The 20965-nt window shown below is 36.3% G+C and overlaps 1 protein-coding gene across 17 annotated transcripts in view; it reads left to right on the top strand.

Moving 5' to 3' along the window:
* The window catches only part of PDE1A (phosphodiesterase 1A), a 576757-nt gene that overhangs the window by 247893 nt on the left and 307899 nt on the right, over positions 1 to 20965 (top strand). Inside the window, exon 3 of one of the 17 annotated variants that reach the window (NM_001395265.2) lies at positions 5246 to 5307. The exons of the other annotated variants lie outside the window; for them this stretch is intronic. The gene's annotated coding sequence lies outside the window, so the exon portion shown is untranslated. The remainder of the gene's footprint in view (positions 1 to 5245; positions 5308 to 20965) is intronic. 17 annotated transcript variants of the gene reach the window in all.

Genomic DNA, 20965 nt, shown 5'->3' with positions numbered 1-20965 from the left:
AAAATATTACTGCTCATTAACAATGCATCTGGTCACCCAGGAGCTCTGCTAGTGATGTAAAAGGAGATTAATGCTGTTTTCATGCCTGCTCATACAACATCCATTCTGAAGCCATGGACCAAGGAGTAATTTTGACTTTCAAGTCTTATTATTTAAGAAATACATTTCATGAGGCTATAGTTGCCACAGATAGTGATTCTTCTGATGGATCTGAGCAAAGTAAATTGAAAACCTTCTGGATAGGATTTGCTATTCCAAATCCCATTAAGAACATTTGTGTTTCATGGGAGGAGGCCAAAATATCAACATTAACATAAGGAGTTCAGAAGTTGACTCCAGCACTCATGGATGACTTTGAGGGGTTTAAGACATTAGTGGAGAAAGTGACTGCAGATGTGGTGAAAATAGCAAGAGAACTAGAATTAAAAATAGAGCCTGAAGATGTGGCCAAATTACTTCAATCTTGTAATAATATTTCAATGGATGTGGAGTTGCTTTTTATGGATGAGCAAAGGAAATGGTTTATTGAGATGGAATCTACTTCTGGTGAAGATGCTATGAACATTGTTGAAATGACAATAACAGATATAAACTTGTACATAAACTTAGTTAAGAAAGCAATGGCAGAGTTTGAGAGGATTGACTTCAATTTCAAAAGAAGTTCTACTGTCAGTCAAATGCTATCAAACAGCATCACATGCTACGGAGATACCTTTTGTGAAAAGAGGAGTCCATTGATGCAGCAAACTTCATTCTTGTCTTATTTTATGAAATTGCCACAACCACCCCAACTTTCAGCAACCACCGTCCTGATCACTCAGCAACCATCACACTGAAGAAAGATTCTCTACCAGGAAAAAGAGTATGATTCTGAAGACTCAGATAATCGTTAGTATGTTTTAGCAATAAAGAATTTTTAAATTAAGGTATCTATGTTGTTTTTTAGGCATAATGTTATTTCACACTTAATAAATTACTGTAGAGTGTAAACATAACTTTTATACATAGTGCAAAACCAGAAAATCTGTGTAACTCATTTTATTATGTTAGCTTTATTGTGGTAGACTAGAACTGAACCTGCAATGTTTCTGAGGTATGCCTATCTATGGTTTTCTCTCTTTGTTCAAGTAATATGGCTAATTACATTGATTAATTTTCAGATGTTAAATAAATCTTACATTCCTAGGACAAACATCTCTTTGGTAATGATATATAATCCTTTTTACATAATGCTCAATTTGATTTGCTAATTTATTTTTACAGTTTTAGTCTCTGTTTTCAAGTGGTATTGGTCTGCAGTTCTCTTGTGTTATCTTTGTTTGGATTTGGAATCAGGATAATTCTGGCTTAATAAAATAAATTGGGAAGTTTTTTCTAATACTCTACTCTCTGAAAGAGTTTCTGGATGATAGTTACTATTTTTTCCTGAAATGTTTAATATAATTCCCCATTGAAGCTATCTGGGTCCAATGTTTTCCTTTTGGGAAGGTTTTAATTACAAACTGAAATTTTTAAATTTAATATAAAACTACTCAATTTTTAAAAATGTTCTTCATGTGATATTTAGGAATTTCCCCTTTCATTTAGGTGCAAAATTTATTGGCACAAAGTTGTTTGTAATATCTTCTTCATATCCTGCAATTTCCTTATTTTCCTTTTACTGTCCATAAAATCTGTAGTGAGGTGGTCTCTTTCATTCCTGATATTGGTAATTTTCTTTCCTCTCTCCCTCTTTCTCTTCCTCCCCTCCCTTCCTCTCTCCCTCCCTTCTTTCATTCTTCTTTTTTTCTTCGTTATTTCTTTCCATCTTTTCTTTTCCTTTATCCCTTCCTTTTCTTTCTTTCTCCTTCCCAAGATATAAGCTATGCATACACTTTAATCTCTAGCTGCCTTTTTAGTCTGGTGAGCCTAGCAGCTCAAAAGACAAATCTTAAGAGCTCCTCTTAGTATACCCGTATGGGAAGAGCAGAGTTGATTTTTCTCTAGGCTTCTATTCAGCTAAACTGTGTCCATGCCCTGTTGCCTTTTCAAAAATAAGGATTCCCTTGAGAAGAAAGAAGGCACTAGTTAGGAAGAAGAATAGAACTTTGGTTTACTTCACAACTCTAACCAACACTTCCACCTCCTGTATAATGATCCATTTGTGTGCTCTTTTTGGATGCTTCAGTCAAGAGCCCCCACTCCTGAGAATGGAGTGATGAATACGAGTAACACCCCTTCTTTGAAGATCTTACTGTTTATAGACCAGTGTACATAGCTCTCTGTCTAGTATTCTAAATCCTCTTCTCTCTGGTCTTCCCAACTTTCCAATGTTCTATTTCACTGTTTCCATCCTCACCTCTCCAGGTGAGATGGTTTACTATTTTGCCAACATACTTCGTGGACTTATGTTACTATACCTTCACATTTGTAGGACCATGCCACTCCTCAATTTCCCCAATTTCTAGTTTCTCTACATTTTCTAGGAGAACTAAAGCCCAGAGAGGTGGCAGAAGTTATCAATGACAAACATTTTATTTAAGAGAATGAGAAAAGAAGACAAATGTAGGGTTTTTCTTTCCTAGCTCTAAGAGTTTGATTTTAGTCTGATGAGAAATAGGATGCCTTTTAGGTTCCTGGGAAGGTAACTCTTAGGAAGAAAATGTGGTCTGGGAAAGATAAACTCAATATCTTTAAATAGTAGGATAGAAGATGAAACTTGTGGTAAGTACAAGAGTAAAGAGGACTGAGGTATTCAGGTTAGTTCAGGGGTTGTGAGACAAAGAGAAACGTATGCATTTAAAGACATTATGAAGAAAACAAGTGACAAACACATTCAAGACCTTAGGAATAAAGAACTGGCAGGTTACACACACACACACACAAAAGTGTAGGCAACACCTTAAAATTCTTTACTTATATTACCCTAAATTGTATCATTGTTTGGTATAGTAAATATTTATGTAATTTTATTTATTTTTACAAATATTTTTTGAATACTACTCTTTTCCGGCATCACTCTAGACACTGGGGCCACAAAAGTAAACTGTTTATTTAATGAATTGACATGTTCTCATCATCAAAATGGATATGTCAAAATTTTATTAAGGCTTTTAGAAAAAATTGATTCTGAATAGTTATGTTTAAAAGATGAAGTAATAATCGTGATTTGGGGGATATTAAGAAATATCTTCCATGTTTGTCTGTGGATAACTAAATTCAGCAGACGTGAAGTCAGTAAATATTTGTGTCTACTGGACAAAAATTATTGCTTTAAACTGCATCAAACATATTTTAAGGTTAATATTTTATGGAGTAATTTAGATAGTGCTACTCTCAAACATTATACTTGCCAAAGGACAGAATAAAGAAAATAAATGCTTTCTAAACCAAAGAGTATCTTATTTTCTACTTAAAAAAATTTTTAATTCCTGTGGTTCATTAGGAATTCTACAACTCTTAATTGAATGTATCAATATAATTGATTGAATGTATCAGATTTAAAAAAAAAATTAAAATTTTTTTGAGACACTGCTCTGAACTGTTTTTTGAATCAAAGTAAGCAGAGGTTCTCAAATTCCAATTCTTTTGTATGCATGTTTGGAAAGGAAAATTGTAAAAATTCTTAGGCATAGACATTTACAATATTATTGGATGAAAGCAAAGCTAGTTATTCCACTGTGATTTGAAAAGTAAACTTTAGGTTAGATTTTAAATATTTGGTAGTTCAAAATTGTCATCTCCCATTAAATTATTATTACTGCAGTCCTTATGAAATAAAGGCACTGTTCCTTTCGCTAGCCATCACAGTTTATTTTTTATAATTGTAAAGGATTAAGTCAAATTAAAAAAACTGAGGCAATGTCAAATTAACAAAATAGAGGTAGAAAAACATACTTTTAATATTGTTGTATTTTAACATACAGTTAATATTTTTTAATAGTCTTTAAGTCTCACTCTTCAATTAAATATTCATTCAAAAACATTGATTGAGTGTTCATCATGTATCAGTAGTTCTGCTTAGCGTGAGGCATACAGCGATGAAAAAAGCTAAAGGGTCTGTGCACAATGGTGCTTTCGTTCTGGTGGTCTCAGCACCCTGGTCTGACTTGAGCAAGATTCCTATTAGGTTGGTTTAGCCAGAATCCCTCCTTACTGCTGATGTTTCCCTTCAGTGATTTTCTATTCACTGACCACCCTGACCCTGATCCTTGGCTATGAATTCCCACTTGCCTATGCTGTATTCAGAATTGAGCCTGATTCTTTATTGATGTTTCTTTTCTCTCTACTGCAATTGTCATAAATTAAATCTGTTATTATTATTATTTTTTTTACCATGTTAACTACTATCCAGCTCTGGTTTTTCTTTGACAAAGAAAATAAATCAGCTATAGAATAGAAATAAGAGGTTGATGCATAGTCTATTTTAGATAGGGTGGCCAAAACTCCTACTGAGAGGTATTTGGTCAGTTTAAGCAGAATTCTCCTTACCCCTAATATTTCCTTTTTACTAGTTTCTCATGTATTGACCTGCACTCTGCTTTTTGGCTGTAAATTTTCACTCATCGCTGCTGTTTTTGGAGTTTGGAATAGGGTATTTGCCTTATACCCCACTGCAAGACCCTGTTGCAGTGGTCCCTATGCCTGTCACAATGGTCCTAAGTAAAGTCTTTCTTACCATGCTTTAACACGTGTCATTGAATAATTTTTTCATTAACACTACTCAGAATTTCGGGTGAACAATTGTAGAATCTCCATGATATCAGTAGCCTAAAGAAAACATAGAAAATTTTGGGAGTTCTAGATTCTTGGCATGGCTTGGTATAGGTGACCAGGTCAGGATGGGGGAGAGAGCTTTCATAGAGTAGCATAGCCATCACTGTGGCTCTGAATACCCATTCACTTATCTAACAGATAGAGTGAGAAGTGGGGCTGGCATAGAAGCAGTTCTTCCCTCGTCATTACCAGCTTCATATCCTTGCCAGAAGTTTCTTTGCCAGGAGATAATTCTGTTACCATGGGCTCCTAGAAGTGTTCTTTGGCAGCCCTGGGTGAATCTGATTTCATGCTTATGCTTTTCCACAGCTTGTACTTGTCTATGATTTTGAAAATTAACTCTGAATTTGTAATAAGTGGTACATATTTTGCATATTATTTTAACCTTACAGGGACTTGGACACCAATTATCTTTTATAGTTTTGTTAATCAATATTAACAAAACATAAAATTTTTGCCTTGCAAAATGTACTTGTTCTTCCTCTCGTAGAGCCATATGTGAGTGGAAAGATCTTGAATTGTTCCTGCTCTTCTTGACAGAAGAAAATAAAAGTATGTCTTCCACAACTCTTTTCTTACGGTAACCATTCTTGTTTGAGGCTATCAAAATTGCAGCAGGTGATTTCTTTTCTAGTTGAAGTACAATGCAGCATAAATATTCTCTTCTTTCACACAAAGGAGTTTAAATCAGAGTGGGCTTGCTTTCTAAATCTAAGGGTTGAAGGCCGAGGGATAACGTGTGTAGTATATTTGTTGTGCTGTGAATACTGTAGCATTCCAGGGGGTGAGAGTCTAACTTTGCAATACATATTTGTTTTTTTAATTAACTAATATTTTCAGATACATTGAGACCCTTAAATTTTTTGTTTTTATTTTTATTATTTTATTTTATTTATTTATTTTTATTTTTTGAGATGGAGACTCGCTTTGTCACCCAGGCTGGAGTGCAGTGGCGCACTCTCAGCTCACTGCAACCTCCGCCTCCTGGGTTCAAGGGATTCTCGCCTCAGCCTCCCGAGTAGCTGGTACTACAGGTGCATGCCATCACGCCTGGCTAATTATTGTATTTTTAGTAGAGACGGGGTTTCTCCCCGTTGGCCAGGCTGGTCTCGAACTCCTGGCCTCAAGTGATCCTCCTGCCTTGGCCTCCCAAAGTGCTGGGATTACAGGTGTGAGCCACCGCACCCGGCCTACCCTTAGAATTGTAGTCATTTTATTAATACAATGCAGAAAATTAGTCATAAGAAAAATATAATTAGCATTTGACCTTAAAACTCATAAAACAGATTGTGAATAACATCATCCCTTTTTACTTTTATTTTAAAATTTCAAAAAATAAAAAAAAGTTTCAAGGTTTTGATATTTTTATTCTGAATTTTTAAAAAATCAGTAGGGAAAAATAATCCTAGCATTTCTTGTTGGGGAGGGGACATATGTGTCCCCTCTCACTGCAGTACTGCCTCTAGGGCTCCCTGCTTACACCCTTTTTTTTCCCTTATCCTTCTCTTAAGGTGGAAGTATGTTAATTTGACTAGTCAATATCTAAGAAAATTGTTGAGAACCACTGCATGCTAAAAGGCAGGGCCCATGCTCTGTTCCTTTTTTTTCCCTTCTTCATGCACAGAATGAGTAGGTTAGCCTAAACGTGGCTGTCCTTGTCACTTGTCCCTCTCCACAATCAAGCCTAAACCTAACAGACTGTTAAACACCAAGAGTCTGGTTTGAGGGTGCTGATCAGAACTCAGTCCTGCTTTTAAGATATACATATGTATATATATATACACACACATATATATAAGATATACATATATATATATACTTTTTTATATGTCTATTCTTTTTTTTATTATACTTTAAGTTCTAGGGTGCATGTGCACAACGTGCAGGTTTGTTACATATGTATACATGTGCCATGTTGGTGTGCTGCACCCATTAACTCGTCATTTACATTAGGTATATCTCCTAATGCTTTCCCTCCCCGCTCCCCCCACCCCACAACAGGCCCCGGTGTGTGATGTTCCCCTTCCTGTGTCCAAGTGCTCTCATTGTTCAATTCCCACCTATGAGGTGTTTGGTTTTTTATTCTTGCGATAGTTTGCTGAGAATACTTTTTAAAGAGAATGAGCCCCCTTGGTTTAATCCAGCAAGCATTGTCTATCTCGCTGGATTAACAGATAAGCATGCAACCCAATCAAAGCTATAAGACACAAGAGAAATTTTTCTGGGGCTTCTGGGAAAAACTAGTTTATATCTTTCTTCTACTGGATTTGTGAGTGTGAAGAGGTGAGAATAACCTTTTTGCTGCCAATGAGATACACCATGAGGATGAGGCTTACTGACAGGGGAAAGGACAGCTGAGATATGCAGAGGAAACAAATCTTGATGAGATTATTTGAAACTCTGAATCAAACCATAGCTGAAGAAAGCACCAGCACTGGAATCTTCATTTATAGGTCCTACGTATTTCCTGTCTTTCTTTAAGTCAGGTTGAGGTCTATTTCTGTCACTTGCAACATACAGGACGCTGTTACAGGGGAATGTAGGAGGGTTAGATTGTGCACTCCATCATGGGTTATGATATGGCTGGTGAGGGATTATTGGTTTCTGGCTCAACTAATAATGATGGGATATTTTGTTTCCTATTTGGTTATTATTCCCAAGCTTATCACTCTTGGATACCTTATATGGGAGAGAGATGGGAGAGTCAAAGTGAATAGCAGGGCAGATTCAGTATTCCTGGTTGTAAAACTGTGTAGGTGGATCAGACATCCATGCTTTATCATGAATAACCTGGCCCAAGGTTTTTAAAATTTTTCGATGGAAACAATTTAGTTGACAGTATTCAAATTTTTTTTAATGGCTGTACAATATATTATTTCATGTAATGAAGTCATATGTGCCAGAGTGGAAGTGGTTGAACTTTACTTTAGTTTTTCGTATTCCTTTCAGATTCCTATAGTTCTATGCTGTAGAATAATATTTGCTAACGAATACACCTCAGAACTCCAGGCTCACAAACACTTCATGAGAAAAAGATTCCATGGCCAAATAAGTCTGTGAAATGCTGCATATGAGGTCACCTTCTGACCACTCATAGGGTACTTTAGTATATTAAAAACTTTGGCAAATAGTAAAGAAGCTTATTTATTTTTCCTTAGTTCATTTGACCATGAATTCTCTTCCCTCTTAGCCCTCCACCTTTTGTTTTCCTTGTAATACCAAGTGGAGGAGAGTGGGTTAAATAAGAATGCTACTCTTAGGTTGGTACAAAAGTCATTGCAGTTTTTGCCATTAAAAGCAATAACAAAAACTACAATTACTTTTGCACCAACCTAATAAAATGATAACATTCTCTCTCATTGAAAACCTGATATTTTCTAATTTGTAGTTATAGTTATTCAGCAGAATGGCTTATTCCTTTTGTTCAAATACAGTTGAACATTAGAGGCTCTATTCTTTTTAGTTACTCTTGTTTATGCATACTTAATCCAATTCTGTCCACTAACAATTCTACTTGAACTCTGGTTTCATACATGAAAGAAAAGTCATCTTTAGTCGAGCAAAGGAAACAAGGCAAATGCAATATTAAAGTTACATACAGGTTGCAATCAGGGTGCGGTGGTGCACATCTGTAGTTAGTCTCAGATACTTGGGAGGCTGAAGCAGGAGGATTCTTTGAGCCCAGGAGTTAGAGGCAAGCCTGGGAAACATAGTGACACCCCATCTCTTAAAAATGTGTTACATATGGGTTTCAATATTCCATGGGATCAGAGGGCTTTTACTGTTTTTGAATGAAAGGTCGAACTGGTGATGGGAAGTAACACTGGGGAAGTGAGGCTTGACCTGTCTTGAGGGTTGAATGTGCACCTGTCACCGAAGAGGCTGCTGGGAGTATTGAAAATGAGAGGACCTGTGACTGAAGGCTTCAAGGTATGAGATATTCTCTTGCCTCTGAGGGACAAAGATAACAATAGTTGGATTGATGGATTTTATGCAGATTTGTATTTTTAGGAAAGTCACTCTTGTGGTAGGTTGGAAGAGGGATTGGAATGAATGAGCAAGATGTTAAAAGAGGTAGTATCAATTGTGGCCATGGACTAAATAACAGGAGTGAGGAAGAAGGAAGAACAAAAGATGACTTGGCAGTTGTCAGTGAATGGAGATTGAGGTGGCTAAGAAGTGGATTATTTGACCTTAAGGGTTTAAAGTGGAATAATATGATAAAAGCAACTTAGTATTTATTGAGCTCCTATTTGTGCTAGGTATGGTGCTAAGCACAATGGGGAAGATTACTATTCTCTAGAATCTCAGCGTTTTGAGAAAAAAATACTGAAATACTGTGCATGCTACAGTGGATATTTGTTAGGGGTTTTTTGGCTGCTCACATTCTACCCCCTTTGTAGCATTCCTCATTGAATGTTGGTAGTTATTCCTGTTATGGAAGCTAAAGGTGGCCAGATATTCCCTCTCCTTCTTCACTTCCTGGCAACTAGAGTTTCTTTAGGGGCCTAGGCTTAGTCAACTGATGCTCTTGAGCAGATTCAGAATGTGAAGTTACTGATGGGAAGGCATTGAGTAGTTAGAGATCATTTGTGGATTAAGAGTGCAACCACCCAGTATCCTTTTAGTAAATTCCTTTTCTGACCAAGCTTCACCTGACAGATATAAACACAGGCGTTAATGAATTCAAGGCAGAACATAAAACTTGATTTAGGAGAATAAGAAAGGGAGAACTTTAAAGCTTGCTGTTAGAATTGAAGGAAATTCTTATTGTCCAACTTCCTCTCAATATGCACTGGAGGGAGCCTTCTCAAGGGGGAGGCTTATAACATTCCCTCCTCTGAGAACTTAGATTTTATAGGTTCTCTGAACTTCTCTCTTAAGATGTTAAGCATTTAGTGCTTTGTATTAGGACTTCTGTCTTTGATGTTGGTGCTTCAAATTTTCATTAACTAAATATTAATCTTTTACAAGAACCCTCTACCTGTTTGTTGAGATTAATTTAACAGCCAGTAATAGGTATAGGTATTATTTATCTTAGAGATGAATAAAAATTGTGATAAACCAAATGTATTAAAATCATAAAATACTTCATGAGTTATGGCAACAGATTGCTATTGTGTTTATTATGTTAATGTGAAGTGCTTTTACTATATTGTGTAAGAATAAAAAAGAACAAGAGAAGATATTGATAAGCTTAAGGAGTAATCTTTAGAATATGATAGATGAAAAGCTGGACCACAAATGGCTAGAAGAGTGGATTGGCACAGTTATCGGTGTAATTATCAGGGCACTTAGCAACATTTTAATTAGTGGGAATTTATGATGGCTTAAGTTGTTTTTGCTGTCCAGTGTTTTTAAAAGTGGTTGCCTACAGCTTTGACCTCCCCCACATTTTGCTTTGTTAAGAACTCTTCAGATAAGCATAATTTCCCAATCAGAGGCAGGGTGATAAAATAAAATGAGTATAAGATTGAGTTGGGAATGCTGGGACTTAGTCTTGAGTCTGCTACTTCCTGTAATCATCTCTGAGCTTTAGTTTTCTCGATTACACTCAAATGAACCCTCTTTATTTGCTTTAGGGCATTATTGGGAAGATTTAATTAACACCAGCTATAAAATATCACTCTGGTCACTCTATATCCCCCTCACATAGCCTGTTAATTCCTACAGTTCTTATTGTACCTGACCTATTACTGATTTTTTCCCATCCTGAGTTAGAATGGAAGCTCCATGGACACAGGGACTTTACACATTTTGTTAACTTCTTTTTTTTCAAAAGCACATGGCAGTGCCTGCCACAGACAATGTGCTGAATACAATTCAGATAATAAGGAATGAAAATATTGCTTTTTTTGTTTTTTTATTATGAATGCCTTTCTTGGGAGGCTTGTTACAGATTGGGGTTAGTCCCAAAGTGTTGGATTTGAGGAAGCCTTCTCATATTTGATTGATGATCTTAGTTTGTTTGTTTCCCATTGTACCATGGTTATTACACATTATCTCAAGACAAGACAAGTGGCATTCTCCTAAAATTTTCATTCAAGCTACTTGCTGTAACTACTGTTGTAAATATGTATCTCAATATCATGTATTTTTTATGTACATTTGCTAATATTGATGCTTTATAGAGGAGTGTTTCCCTTATCAATAGAGGATGTATAGAAATTTTGGCTTAAACCTAAGCATAAATTTTACTTTGCCCAACACAAGTCATAAATAAAGCTACATCTTAAATAGAATCTAATGAATTGTTAATGCTCAGTATTTATCCCTTCATTAAACCAAACCTATTCTTACTGTAACCATTTTAAATTTCTCCCCTTTACCATAGCTGTTATTTATCCAGTTATTGTATGTGGAGAAATGGTCCTTCACACAATATCAAAACAATATATAAGTCTAAAGCACTTCCTAGAGTTATTTTTGCTAAGTACTGCTTGTCTGTACATGCTTTTTTGTAAGATAATTTACTTACATAAGAATGAAGACTTTCTATTTTGAGGTTTGCCAGTCATCACACTATTCTAATCATCACTACCAAAACCATACATCAGCATTAATCTACTTTGGCATTATACTGTCCAAAGGACCTTTTCATAGAACTGTAGACTTTCAGAGTTGGAAGTTGACTTGAAGAATCTAGAATGCTTAATTACCATCTACAAACTTAATTCTTTTCCTGAGATTTTTATCTAATTTTTTTGTTTACACACAGATTTTATTGTTTACAGGCAGATGGCTGAAGAAATCTTGCTTATTTACAGTTTTCTACCTGTTTAACTAAGTGCTTAATATAAACATATATGATAATTGAGAAAAATGGCCTACTATATCATATGCAGGTAATTTCATGACAAGGTCAATAAAATAAGAGGCCACCAGCTAATATTTAGGAATATTTTAGAGTATAAAAATTTTGCAAAAAGAATCCAGCAGGGCAGAAAATTCCTTATATTGTCTGAATCAGTAAGTTTCTCCTCTACTAAGAAAGTGGAATTGTTTCTTGAGATGGAGCACACCTCGCCTGGAAACGTGTATGCATCCTAACAAGAAAGGGAACGTGTACCAACTTAATCAGTCCAGACTGTCTGGTTTTCAGTGTTCTCAAAGGCATTCATACTTACTGTTAGGAAATGTTTAAAAATGCTGGGGGATGTTTTTATGCTTGTTCCAATGATTAACCACAGGCATTTAGTGTGTGAGATGCTATCCATCCTGCAATATAAAAGATTGTATTTTTCCTGCAAGAATTTTAAATTCCTCACCAGACATTTGTGTAGGAGAGAACCTGTTTATATTAATTGGAGCATAGAGACTAATTTGATTTTACATATAAACACACACGCACATTTTTTGGCAGTTGTAGTATACACTGATTTTCCAGGAGTGCTACTATTGTACATATTGATAAAAGATTGAGGATTGTATTTCTTTGTAGTTTAAAATTTCCCAGAGTTACTCAGTTGTATCACATCAGTAATGTGATCATGATATTTTTGTCAAGAATCTTTCACTGCCCTCCTTCTCTGCATGTGTAGCTGTTGTACTCACGGTGATTGGTTCAATTGTTTCAATACTTCAGAATCTCTAAGTGTCATCATGCCTGAATGCTAATATAGAGAAATTAAGATTATTTTATTGTACTACTTTTATTTAGGCATTACACAGCTAAGGTATTATATTGATTCAAAAATTTATATGGGTAAGTTACGTCATTTATAAAATTTAGGCTAATAAGGGGAGCACTATGAAATAGTTGTTATTTAAAAGATCTTTGTGTCAATACAGTGACTTTGAAACTAGTGTGCATTGGAGTCTCTAGAAGGTCTTGTTAAGATCCGTATTGCTGCCCCTAGCACCACCACCCCCAACAGTTTCTACTTCAGTAGGCTTGGGAAGGGGGGCCGATTGTTTGCATGGCTGATAAGTTCCCTGGTAAAGTGGATGCTACTGATCCAGGGACCACACTCTGAAAGAACTAGTATAATATGTTAGAGAACCCGATTAGAGCTAGGTAACCCTGATGACTAGTTGGGCAGCATTTTACATCCACATTGAGTTCACATCTATGTGGTTTCAAAGATATGAATTAGATCTGAATTTTCTTGAGTTAATTTGAATAAATGCATAAGTTTAATGTGTTGAAAATAATCTAAATATAATTTACTTTGAACAGTCAGCACACACATATTTGTTAGCAAATTCTTCTGTTTTTTTTTTCTCTTAACCTGTTTATTATTATTATACTTTAAGTTTTAGGGTACATGTGCACAATGTGCAGGTTTGTTACATATGTATACATGTGCCATGTTGGTGTGCTGCACCCATTAACTCGTCATTTAGCATTAGGTATATCTCCTAATGCTTTCCCTCCCCCATTCCCCCACCCACAACAGTCCCCAGAGTGTGATGTTCCCCTTCCTGTGTCCATGGATTCTCATTGTTCAATTCCCACCTATGAGTGAGAACATGCAGTGTTTGGTTTTTTGTCCTTGGAATAGTTTGCTGAGAATGATGGCTTCCGGTTTCATCCATCTCCCTGCAAAGGAAATGAACTCTTCATTTTTTATGGCTGCATAGTGTTCCATGGTGTATATGTGCCTCATTTTCTTAATCCAGTCTATCATTGTTGGACATTTGGGTTGGTTCCAAGTCTTTGCTATTGTGAATAGTGCCGCAATAAACATACATGTGCATGTGTCTGTATAGCAGCATGATTTATAATCCTTTGGATATATACCCAGTAATGGGATGGCTGGGTCAAATGGTATTTCTAGTTCTAGATCCCTGAGGAATCGCCACACTGACTTCCACAATGGTTGAACTAGTTTACAGTCCCACCAACAGTGTAAAAGTGTTCCTATTTCTCCACATCCACTCCAGCACCTGTTGTTTCCTGACTTCTTAGTGATCACCATTCTAACTGGTGTGAGATGGTATCTCATTGTGGTTTTGATTTGCATTTCTCTGATGGCCAGTGATGGTGAGCATTTTTTCATGTGTTTTTTGGCTGCATAAATGTCTTCTTTTGAGAAGTGTCTGTTCATAACCTTTGCCCACATTTTGATGGGGTTGTTTGTTTTTTTCTTGTAAATTTGTTTGAGTTCATTGTAGATTCTGGATATTAGCCCTTTGTCAGATGAGTAGGTTGCAAAAATTTTCTCCCATTTTGTAGGTTGCCTGTTTACTCTGATGGTAGTTTCTTTTTTTGTGCAGAAGCTCTTTAGTTTAATTAGATCCCATTTGTCAATTTTGTCTTTTGTTGCCATTGCTTTTGTGAAGTCCTTGCCCATGCCTATGTCCTCAATCGTATTGCCTAGGTTTTCTTCTGGGTTTTTATGGTTTTAGGTCTAACATGTAAGTCTTTCATCCATCTTGAATTAATTTTTGTATAAGGTGTAAGGAAGGGATCCAGTTTCAGCTTTCTACATATGGCTAGCCAGTTTTCCCAGCACCATTTATTAAATAGGGAATCCTTTCCCCATTGCTTGTTTTTGTCAGGTTTGTCAAAGATCAGATGGTTGTAGATATGCGGCATTATTTCTGAGGGCTCTGTTCTGTTCCATTGGTCTATATCTCTGTTTTGGTACCAGTACCATGCTGTTTTGGTTACTGTAGCCTTGTTGTATAGTTTGAAGTCAGGTAGCATGACGCCTCCGGCTTTGTTCTTTTGGCTTAGGATTGACTTGGCGATGCGGGCTCTTTTTTGGTTCCATATGAACTTTAAAGTAGTTTTTTCCAATTCTGTGAAGAAAGGCATTGGTAGCTTGATGGGGATACCATTGAATCTATAAATTACCTTGGGCAGTGTGGCCATTTTCACGATATTGATTCTTCCTACCCATGAGCATGGAATGTTCTTCCATTTGTTTGTATCCTCTTTTATTTCCTTGAGCAGTGGTTTGTAGTTCTCCTTGAAGAGGTCCTTCACATCCCTTGTAAGCTGGATTCCGAGGTATTTTATTCTCTTCGAAGCAATTCTGACTGGGAGTTCACTCATGATTTGGCTCTCTGTTTGTCTGTTATTCGTGTATAAGAATGCTTGTGATTTTTGTACATTGATTTTGTATCCTGAGACTTTGCTGAAGTTGCTTATCAGCTTAAGGAGATTTGGGGCTGAGACAATGGGGTTTTCTAGATATACAGTCATGTCATCTGCAAACAGGGACAATTTGACTTCCTCTTTTCCTAATTGAATACCCTTTATTTCCTTCTCCTGCCTAATTGCCCTGGCCAGAACTTCCAACACTGTGTTGAATAGGAGTGGTGAGAGAGGGCATCCCTGTCTTGTGTCAGTTTTCAAAGGGAATGCTTCCAGTTTTTGCCCATTCAGTATGATATTGGCTGTGGGTTTTTCATAGATAGCTCTTATTATTTTGAGATACATCCCATCAATACCTAATTTATGGAGAGTTTTTAGCATGAAGGGTTGTTGAATTTTGTCAAAGGCCTTTTCTGCATCTATTGAGATAATCATGTGGTTTTTGTCTTTGGTTCTGTTTATATGCTGGATTACATTTATTGATTTTCATATGTTGACCCAGCCTTGCATCCCAGGGATGAAGCCCACTTGATCATGGTGGATAAGCTTTTTGATGTGCTGCTGGATTCGGTTTGCCAGTATTTTATTGAGGATTTTTGCATCAATGTTCATCAAGGATATTGCAAATTCGTCTGTTAAAGTAATTTCCTGCACACAGATTTTTTTTTTTAATGAAGAAGTTCACAATTCTTTTGGAAAATAAGTAGACCAAATCGGGCATCATGTGTCCAATTTGGCTATGGAGTTGTCTTGTTGACTTTTTCCAGGACTGAGAAAAAAAATGGCCTGCATCAAGTGGTATCCCAAAAAGCTTTTTGAGCTCTTTCATCACCGTATCAGCTTCATAATGAATGACTAATAACGATAGTGCCGAAACAAAGGAATTACCCTAATGAGGAGTCTTGCTACCACCATGCTTTGCTGAGGTGGACAATGAAAACTTGAGCAGAAACTATAATTTATCTGATCATTTTTAGGCCATAAAAATACGTCAAGTCACTTCTGGTCACATGAAAAAATAGTCTCAGTAATGATATGCCTAGTTGAATGAAATAAAGTATCTATCTTCATTTAAGGTGAAAGGTTTTCTAATAGGTCAGCTTGGATCTGTTTGTGCGGACTGTCCATGGCAAAATAAAAAAGTGCAAGTGCAGTCACCATCTGTTCTTTTTTCTTGGCTAGTACCTATTTACAGGGCTGCTTCATGTTTGCTTGACTGGATGTGGAGTGGGAAGAAAAAGGTAAGGGCAGGAAAGTTATCCCTTGATTATTCTGGTTTTGCCATGGTGTTTAACCACTGGCATTGCAGGGCTTTAGCAGACTTAAATGGAGCACATTTGAAGGTTACTGGCTCTCGAACTCTTCTTCTGCAAGTCTTACTTTGATGGGCCTCCAGCTCACTGTGAAACATGAGGCAAGTTGTCACCTTTTTTGCTTGGGGCTTCAGTAGAAACTGAGATGGTAAATGCTTCATTGCAACAATCTGTTCCAGTAAAATGTAGTGGCATTGTTCACTGAGCAGAAAAAAGATTTTGTGGATTAGTGGTGATCACAGAATCAAGGTGCTGGAAGTTAAACTGAACAAATCATGAACAACAAAGAAAACAAAACAAAAGCTTCAAGGACATATGCAAATGAGACAGGAATTTAATCTTTGTTAGGACAGCAGACTTCTAGCGTGCACTTATCAATGTTTTTCAGTCATCCCCTACACATATGTGCACATAAACACACACATGAACACATTGAAGATATTTCCTTCAGGTGCATGTAAAATATGCTGCTTGGATTGAAATTCAAATGGGACTGATCAATCAAATAACTTGAGACCTCACAGTAATGTTCACTCTTAACCTTAGACACCTATGCAGTCATGTTGGTAGCGGGTTACAATGTTACCTCAGCACCACAGTTTGTTTCTGTACTTGAGTTCTTACGTACAGAAGATAGAACTGATTTAAATAGCATAGTATATATCATTTTCTGGACTTTTAAAATTTATTCGAGACCTCTTGATGAAATGGACATATTATATATTTCTGCCACCTGGATTTTCCTGGATAATTTGATGGAATATTTTAAGTTTCAGTAAATCAGAACAATAAACAAACTCAGATAAAAAAAAAAAGAAAATGTGTCTGTCTTTTTGCTGCTATGGAACCAGTGCCCAGCAGAAGTTCTAGCTCATGTTTGGCACTGAATGGTGAATGAGAGAAAAAGGAAAAAAGGAAAGCAGAGGTGCTTGGAGGAAAGCAGTGCAGAGCAGAAGTAGTAAGAAAGACAAAGCCGTGGAGGCAGTAGGAGAGAGGGGCAGCTCAGAGCTGCATGGGAAGCGGTACTGCACAACTCTGAGCATCCTCAGTTTGCTTCTCTTTCGGTGTTCTTGGTACCATCAAAAGTTTAAGCAACTAGAGTATAGGTTATGCAAGTTTGCATTGACATGTGAGCTCAGGTCCCTGATTATGGCTTGAAACAATAGCAGAATTCTTACTGGTAAAAGTATATAATAAATTTCAGATTAATTTTTATAAAAAAATTAACATTTTAAAAAAGGCTTAAAGAGCTACTTACACAGTTAAGTAAGGTACAGCATTTTCTGATGATGCCAGTTAATAACAGAAATAGATCTGGGGAGTGTGCGTAGTTTTGTCTTTTCATATGTCCACATACATACTAATACTTTATGCATTTGTATAGTTAAAATATTTTTTTTTTTTTTTTTTTTTGAGACGGAGTCTCGCTCTGTCGCCCAGGCTGGAGTGCAGTGGCGGGATCTCGGCTCACTGCAAGCTCCGCCTCCCGGGTTCACGCCATTCTCCTGCCTCAGCCTCCCAAGTAGCTGGGACTACAGGCGCCCGCCACTACGCCCGGCTAATTTTTTTGTATTTTTAGTAGAGACAGGGTTTCACCGTGTTAGCCGGGATGGTCTCGATCTCCTGACTTCGTGATCCGCCCGCCTCGGCCTCCCAAAGTGCTGGGATTACAGGCGTGAGCCACCGCGCCCGGCCCTAGTTAAAATATTTTTAATAAAAAGAAAAATATCTTTCAAGCATGTATTTCCATAGCATTGGTCATCTAAATGAGACTCAGAACCCAACTTTCACTTACTTCAATGGGAATTACAGAATACAGGCTTAAGTTATTTGTAAATTAGATTTCTCAGAAGGAAAGAACTTGTATATGGTGATTCACGTACTTTGATATTCTCTATTGTTTCAGAAACCGATACAACAAACAGTGCCAGCCGTAAATAGCTGCTTTTTTCCCTTTATAGTCAGTATACATTAATTTTTGCAAATGTGAGAAATTCTTTTTTTTTTTCTTTGTGTCTTTTTTATACATAGTGAAAAGCTACCAGGTCATACAGTGATATTCATGTAACATCTCTCTGATGAAGAAATTATAATTTCCAAAGCATGGCTCTTTGGAAATTTGAAAAAGAAAACAATAGCCTTAAAAGGAACAAGCCTGATTTGATCTTAACCAGTCTTTATTTAATCAAACTGCAGGGAATTTTCATTGCCCTAGTAATGTTGGTTTTTTTTTTTATGAAAACATTTTTGAGGACTAGCTTGATGTCATTGGTATATTGTTTCCTACTGTGAGCCAATAAATTCAGTTTCATGGGCAAATGCTTACATTTTGGCCTCTGGGCTAACTGAGGCACATGACATGAGGTGGAGTCATAAATTGGCCAGCCCTGAATTCTATTCATGGAAGATTTCATAGCTTATTTTTTCAGTTGGAAACTTTCTAGCTCAATGTGGCACTTTATGTCTCCATTTCTTCCATTCTTTTCCTTTGTCCATTCTCTCTTTCTCTCTGGTTAGTAAATTTTGTTGGTGTCACAGCCTTTTGAAAATGTGATATGTGCTTGATGGTGCTTTTGTTTCCTTTGGTATTGAATAAAAGAGAAGGCAGTTAGCAGTAGGAGTAATTAAAGATAATACCAGTGATGATGATGATGATGATTAAAAAGCCAACATTTATTGAGTGCCATTTACTGTGTGCCAGGTTCTATGCTCAGAAATTAATATATTTCTTTTATTTAATCTTGACAGCAACCTAAAAATAATTTTAGCTAGCACATTTTATGTTGTAGCATTATAAATGCTTTACATGGATGATCCAAGTTGGTGTAATTGAGTTTGGTATAATAGCTGAAGTCTAGTCCTTAAAAAAATTTAAATTTAAATGCTACATATACTATAGAGGGGTCAAAATTCACTCTGATTCTCTTCAGTTATTAGGGCAGCCCTATGTAGTAGTTATTATTCTCAAGCCTATTTTAGTAATATGAAGGTGAGACAGAGAGATATTCAGAAAATTATCCAGTGTTGAATAGCTAGTAGGTAATGTAACCAACATTCAAATATGGGTCTTTTTCACATCTGATTTTATGAATACTAGGACTTTATGATTTAGTAGAATTATAGAAATAGAAGTAGAAATAAAGGTAAAAATGCCAAAGAGTGAATGTTTAGTGTCTCTCAGAAAATGTGGAAAATAAGCCTGTATGGCATAAAAATCAGACAAAGATACTTTCTCCTTTCAACTTGAAATGTTGTTGACAATATTTGAACTACAAACACCCTCCTTTGGTGAAGGAGTATAGGAAGAGGTAATGAGGTGAGGGAGGTTATTCTTATAGCCTCTGCTCATTTTTTTCACTATTCATGATACAGAATGAATTTTTCCATGGAGCTGTTATTTTGTGTTATTTTGCCCGCTCGTCCTCCCTCCCTCCCTTCCTTCCTTCCTTCTTTCCTTTCTCTTTCTCTCTCTCTCTGTCTCTTTCTTTCTTTCTCTGTTTCATTTTTGGTAAAGTTGAGTTAATTATGTTTTCATTTGCTTTTCTTTTTTTTGGTATATTTTTTCTGGGTCAGCCTAGATGTTTGGGAAGGATACTTCCACAGTTAGATAAGCTATCATTTTGTGATGCCTTTTATTCACAGGTTTATTACAAGGTTTGACAAGACTATCCTAAGAAGATTTAGAAGGATTTCCTGGGTTTTGTTTGTGTGTGTGTGTGTGTGTGTGTGTGTGTGTGTGTGTATGTGTATGATGTGATCCTGTAGTGGTACAATTCTGTTAATCTCCAATACTTATTATTTTAAATTTAAACGTATATCTTTAAATATAGAGAAGAATCAATTTTAAATTTGTAGGCTAGAGTAAAAGGATATTGCTTTAGTATGTCTTGTGGTCTCAGTTTCCCCAGAGGAAAATAGAGTCTGAACCAAATAATCTCTATAGTACCTTTCCACACCAACACCATAACTTATGTTTGTATCTGCTAAAAACGGAATCACAGTAGATTAAGACAACTCTGTAGTGTTAGTTTTTAAATAAAAAAGATCATTTAGATTTTATCCATCAAACTGCACTAAATTAAACCAATTTGGAACTCTGCTGAAAGTGAATACCTTTGTTGGTAGATGAAAATTGGCTGGCATGCACAGTCATTAGCAGTGGGTGATAGTTTTTTTGGATATAATGTGGAAAGAACAGGGAGCTGTTTTGGAATGCCTTTGAAGTTTTTTCTTTCAGTTCTAAATATCTGAGATTCTTCACAATTTTCACAGCAGAATGGTCCATAACCCAACATTTCTGTTGGGTTCTAAAACATCGCATATACTTTACAATTTTGGAGTTTCGGGATATGTGTAAATCAGACTTCAACAAGGGAAACATAAGTTAAAAGAATAATTCAAAGGTAATTCTAAACTACCAGTCTTTAAAATCTGCTTTCAACACAAGAACAAAAAAAAATCTAAATGATAAGACTAAGCAAATGATGTGATTTTGTTTATTGATTAGAAACATGTGCTCCAAAATGGTTTAAAATAAAGAAGAAAGGAGTGAGAAAAGGAAGGGAGAATTTAAGACATAAAATCAAAAGTTACTGAGCACACCCAATGTGCCAAGCATGAGTGTTAGAATCTTGAAATGTTAGGAAAGCCAAAGACTTGCAAATTAAAAGAAGTTTCACTGAGCCTATCCTGTAGCACTAAAATGTTAAAAATGCAGCTTGTCATCATAAGGCATGACTGGGATGTGGGAAAATAGCAGTAACGCCAGGGTTGTGAAACAAGATCACATAGTTAAGGAGATAAAGCCAGAGCTCCAAGAAGTTTGTGTTCTAGCCCCATAATGTCAAAAAGT

The sequence above is a fragment of the Homo sapiens genome, chromosome 2 (genome assembly GCF_000001405.40).
Source record: "Homo sapiens chromosome 2, GRCh38.p14 Primary Assembly".
Classification (NCBI taxonomy): domain Eukaryota; kingdom Metazoa; phylum Chordata; class Mammalia; order Primates; family Hominidae; genus Homo; species Homo sapiens.
This window is presented reverse-complemented; position numbering and strand designations above follow the sequence as displayed.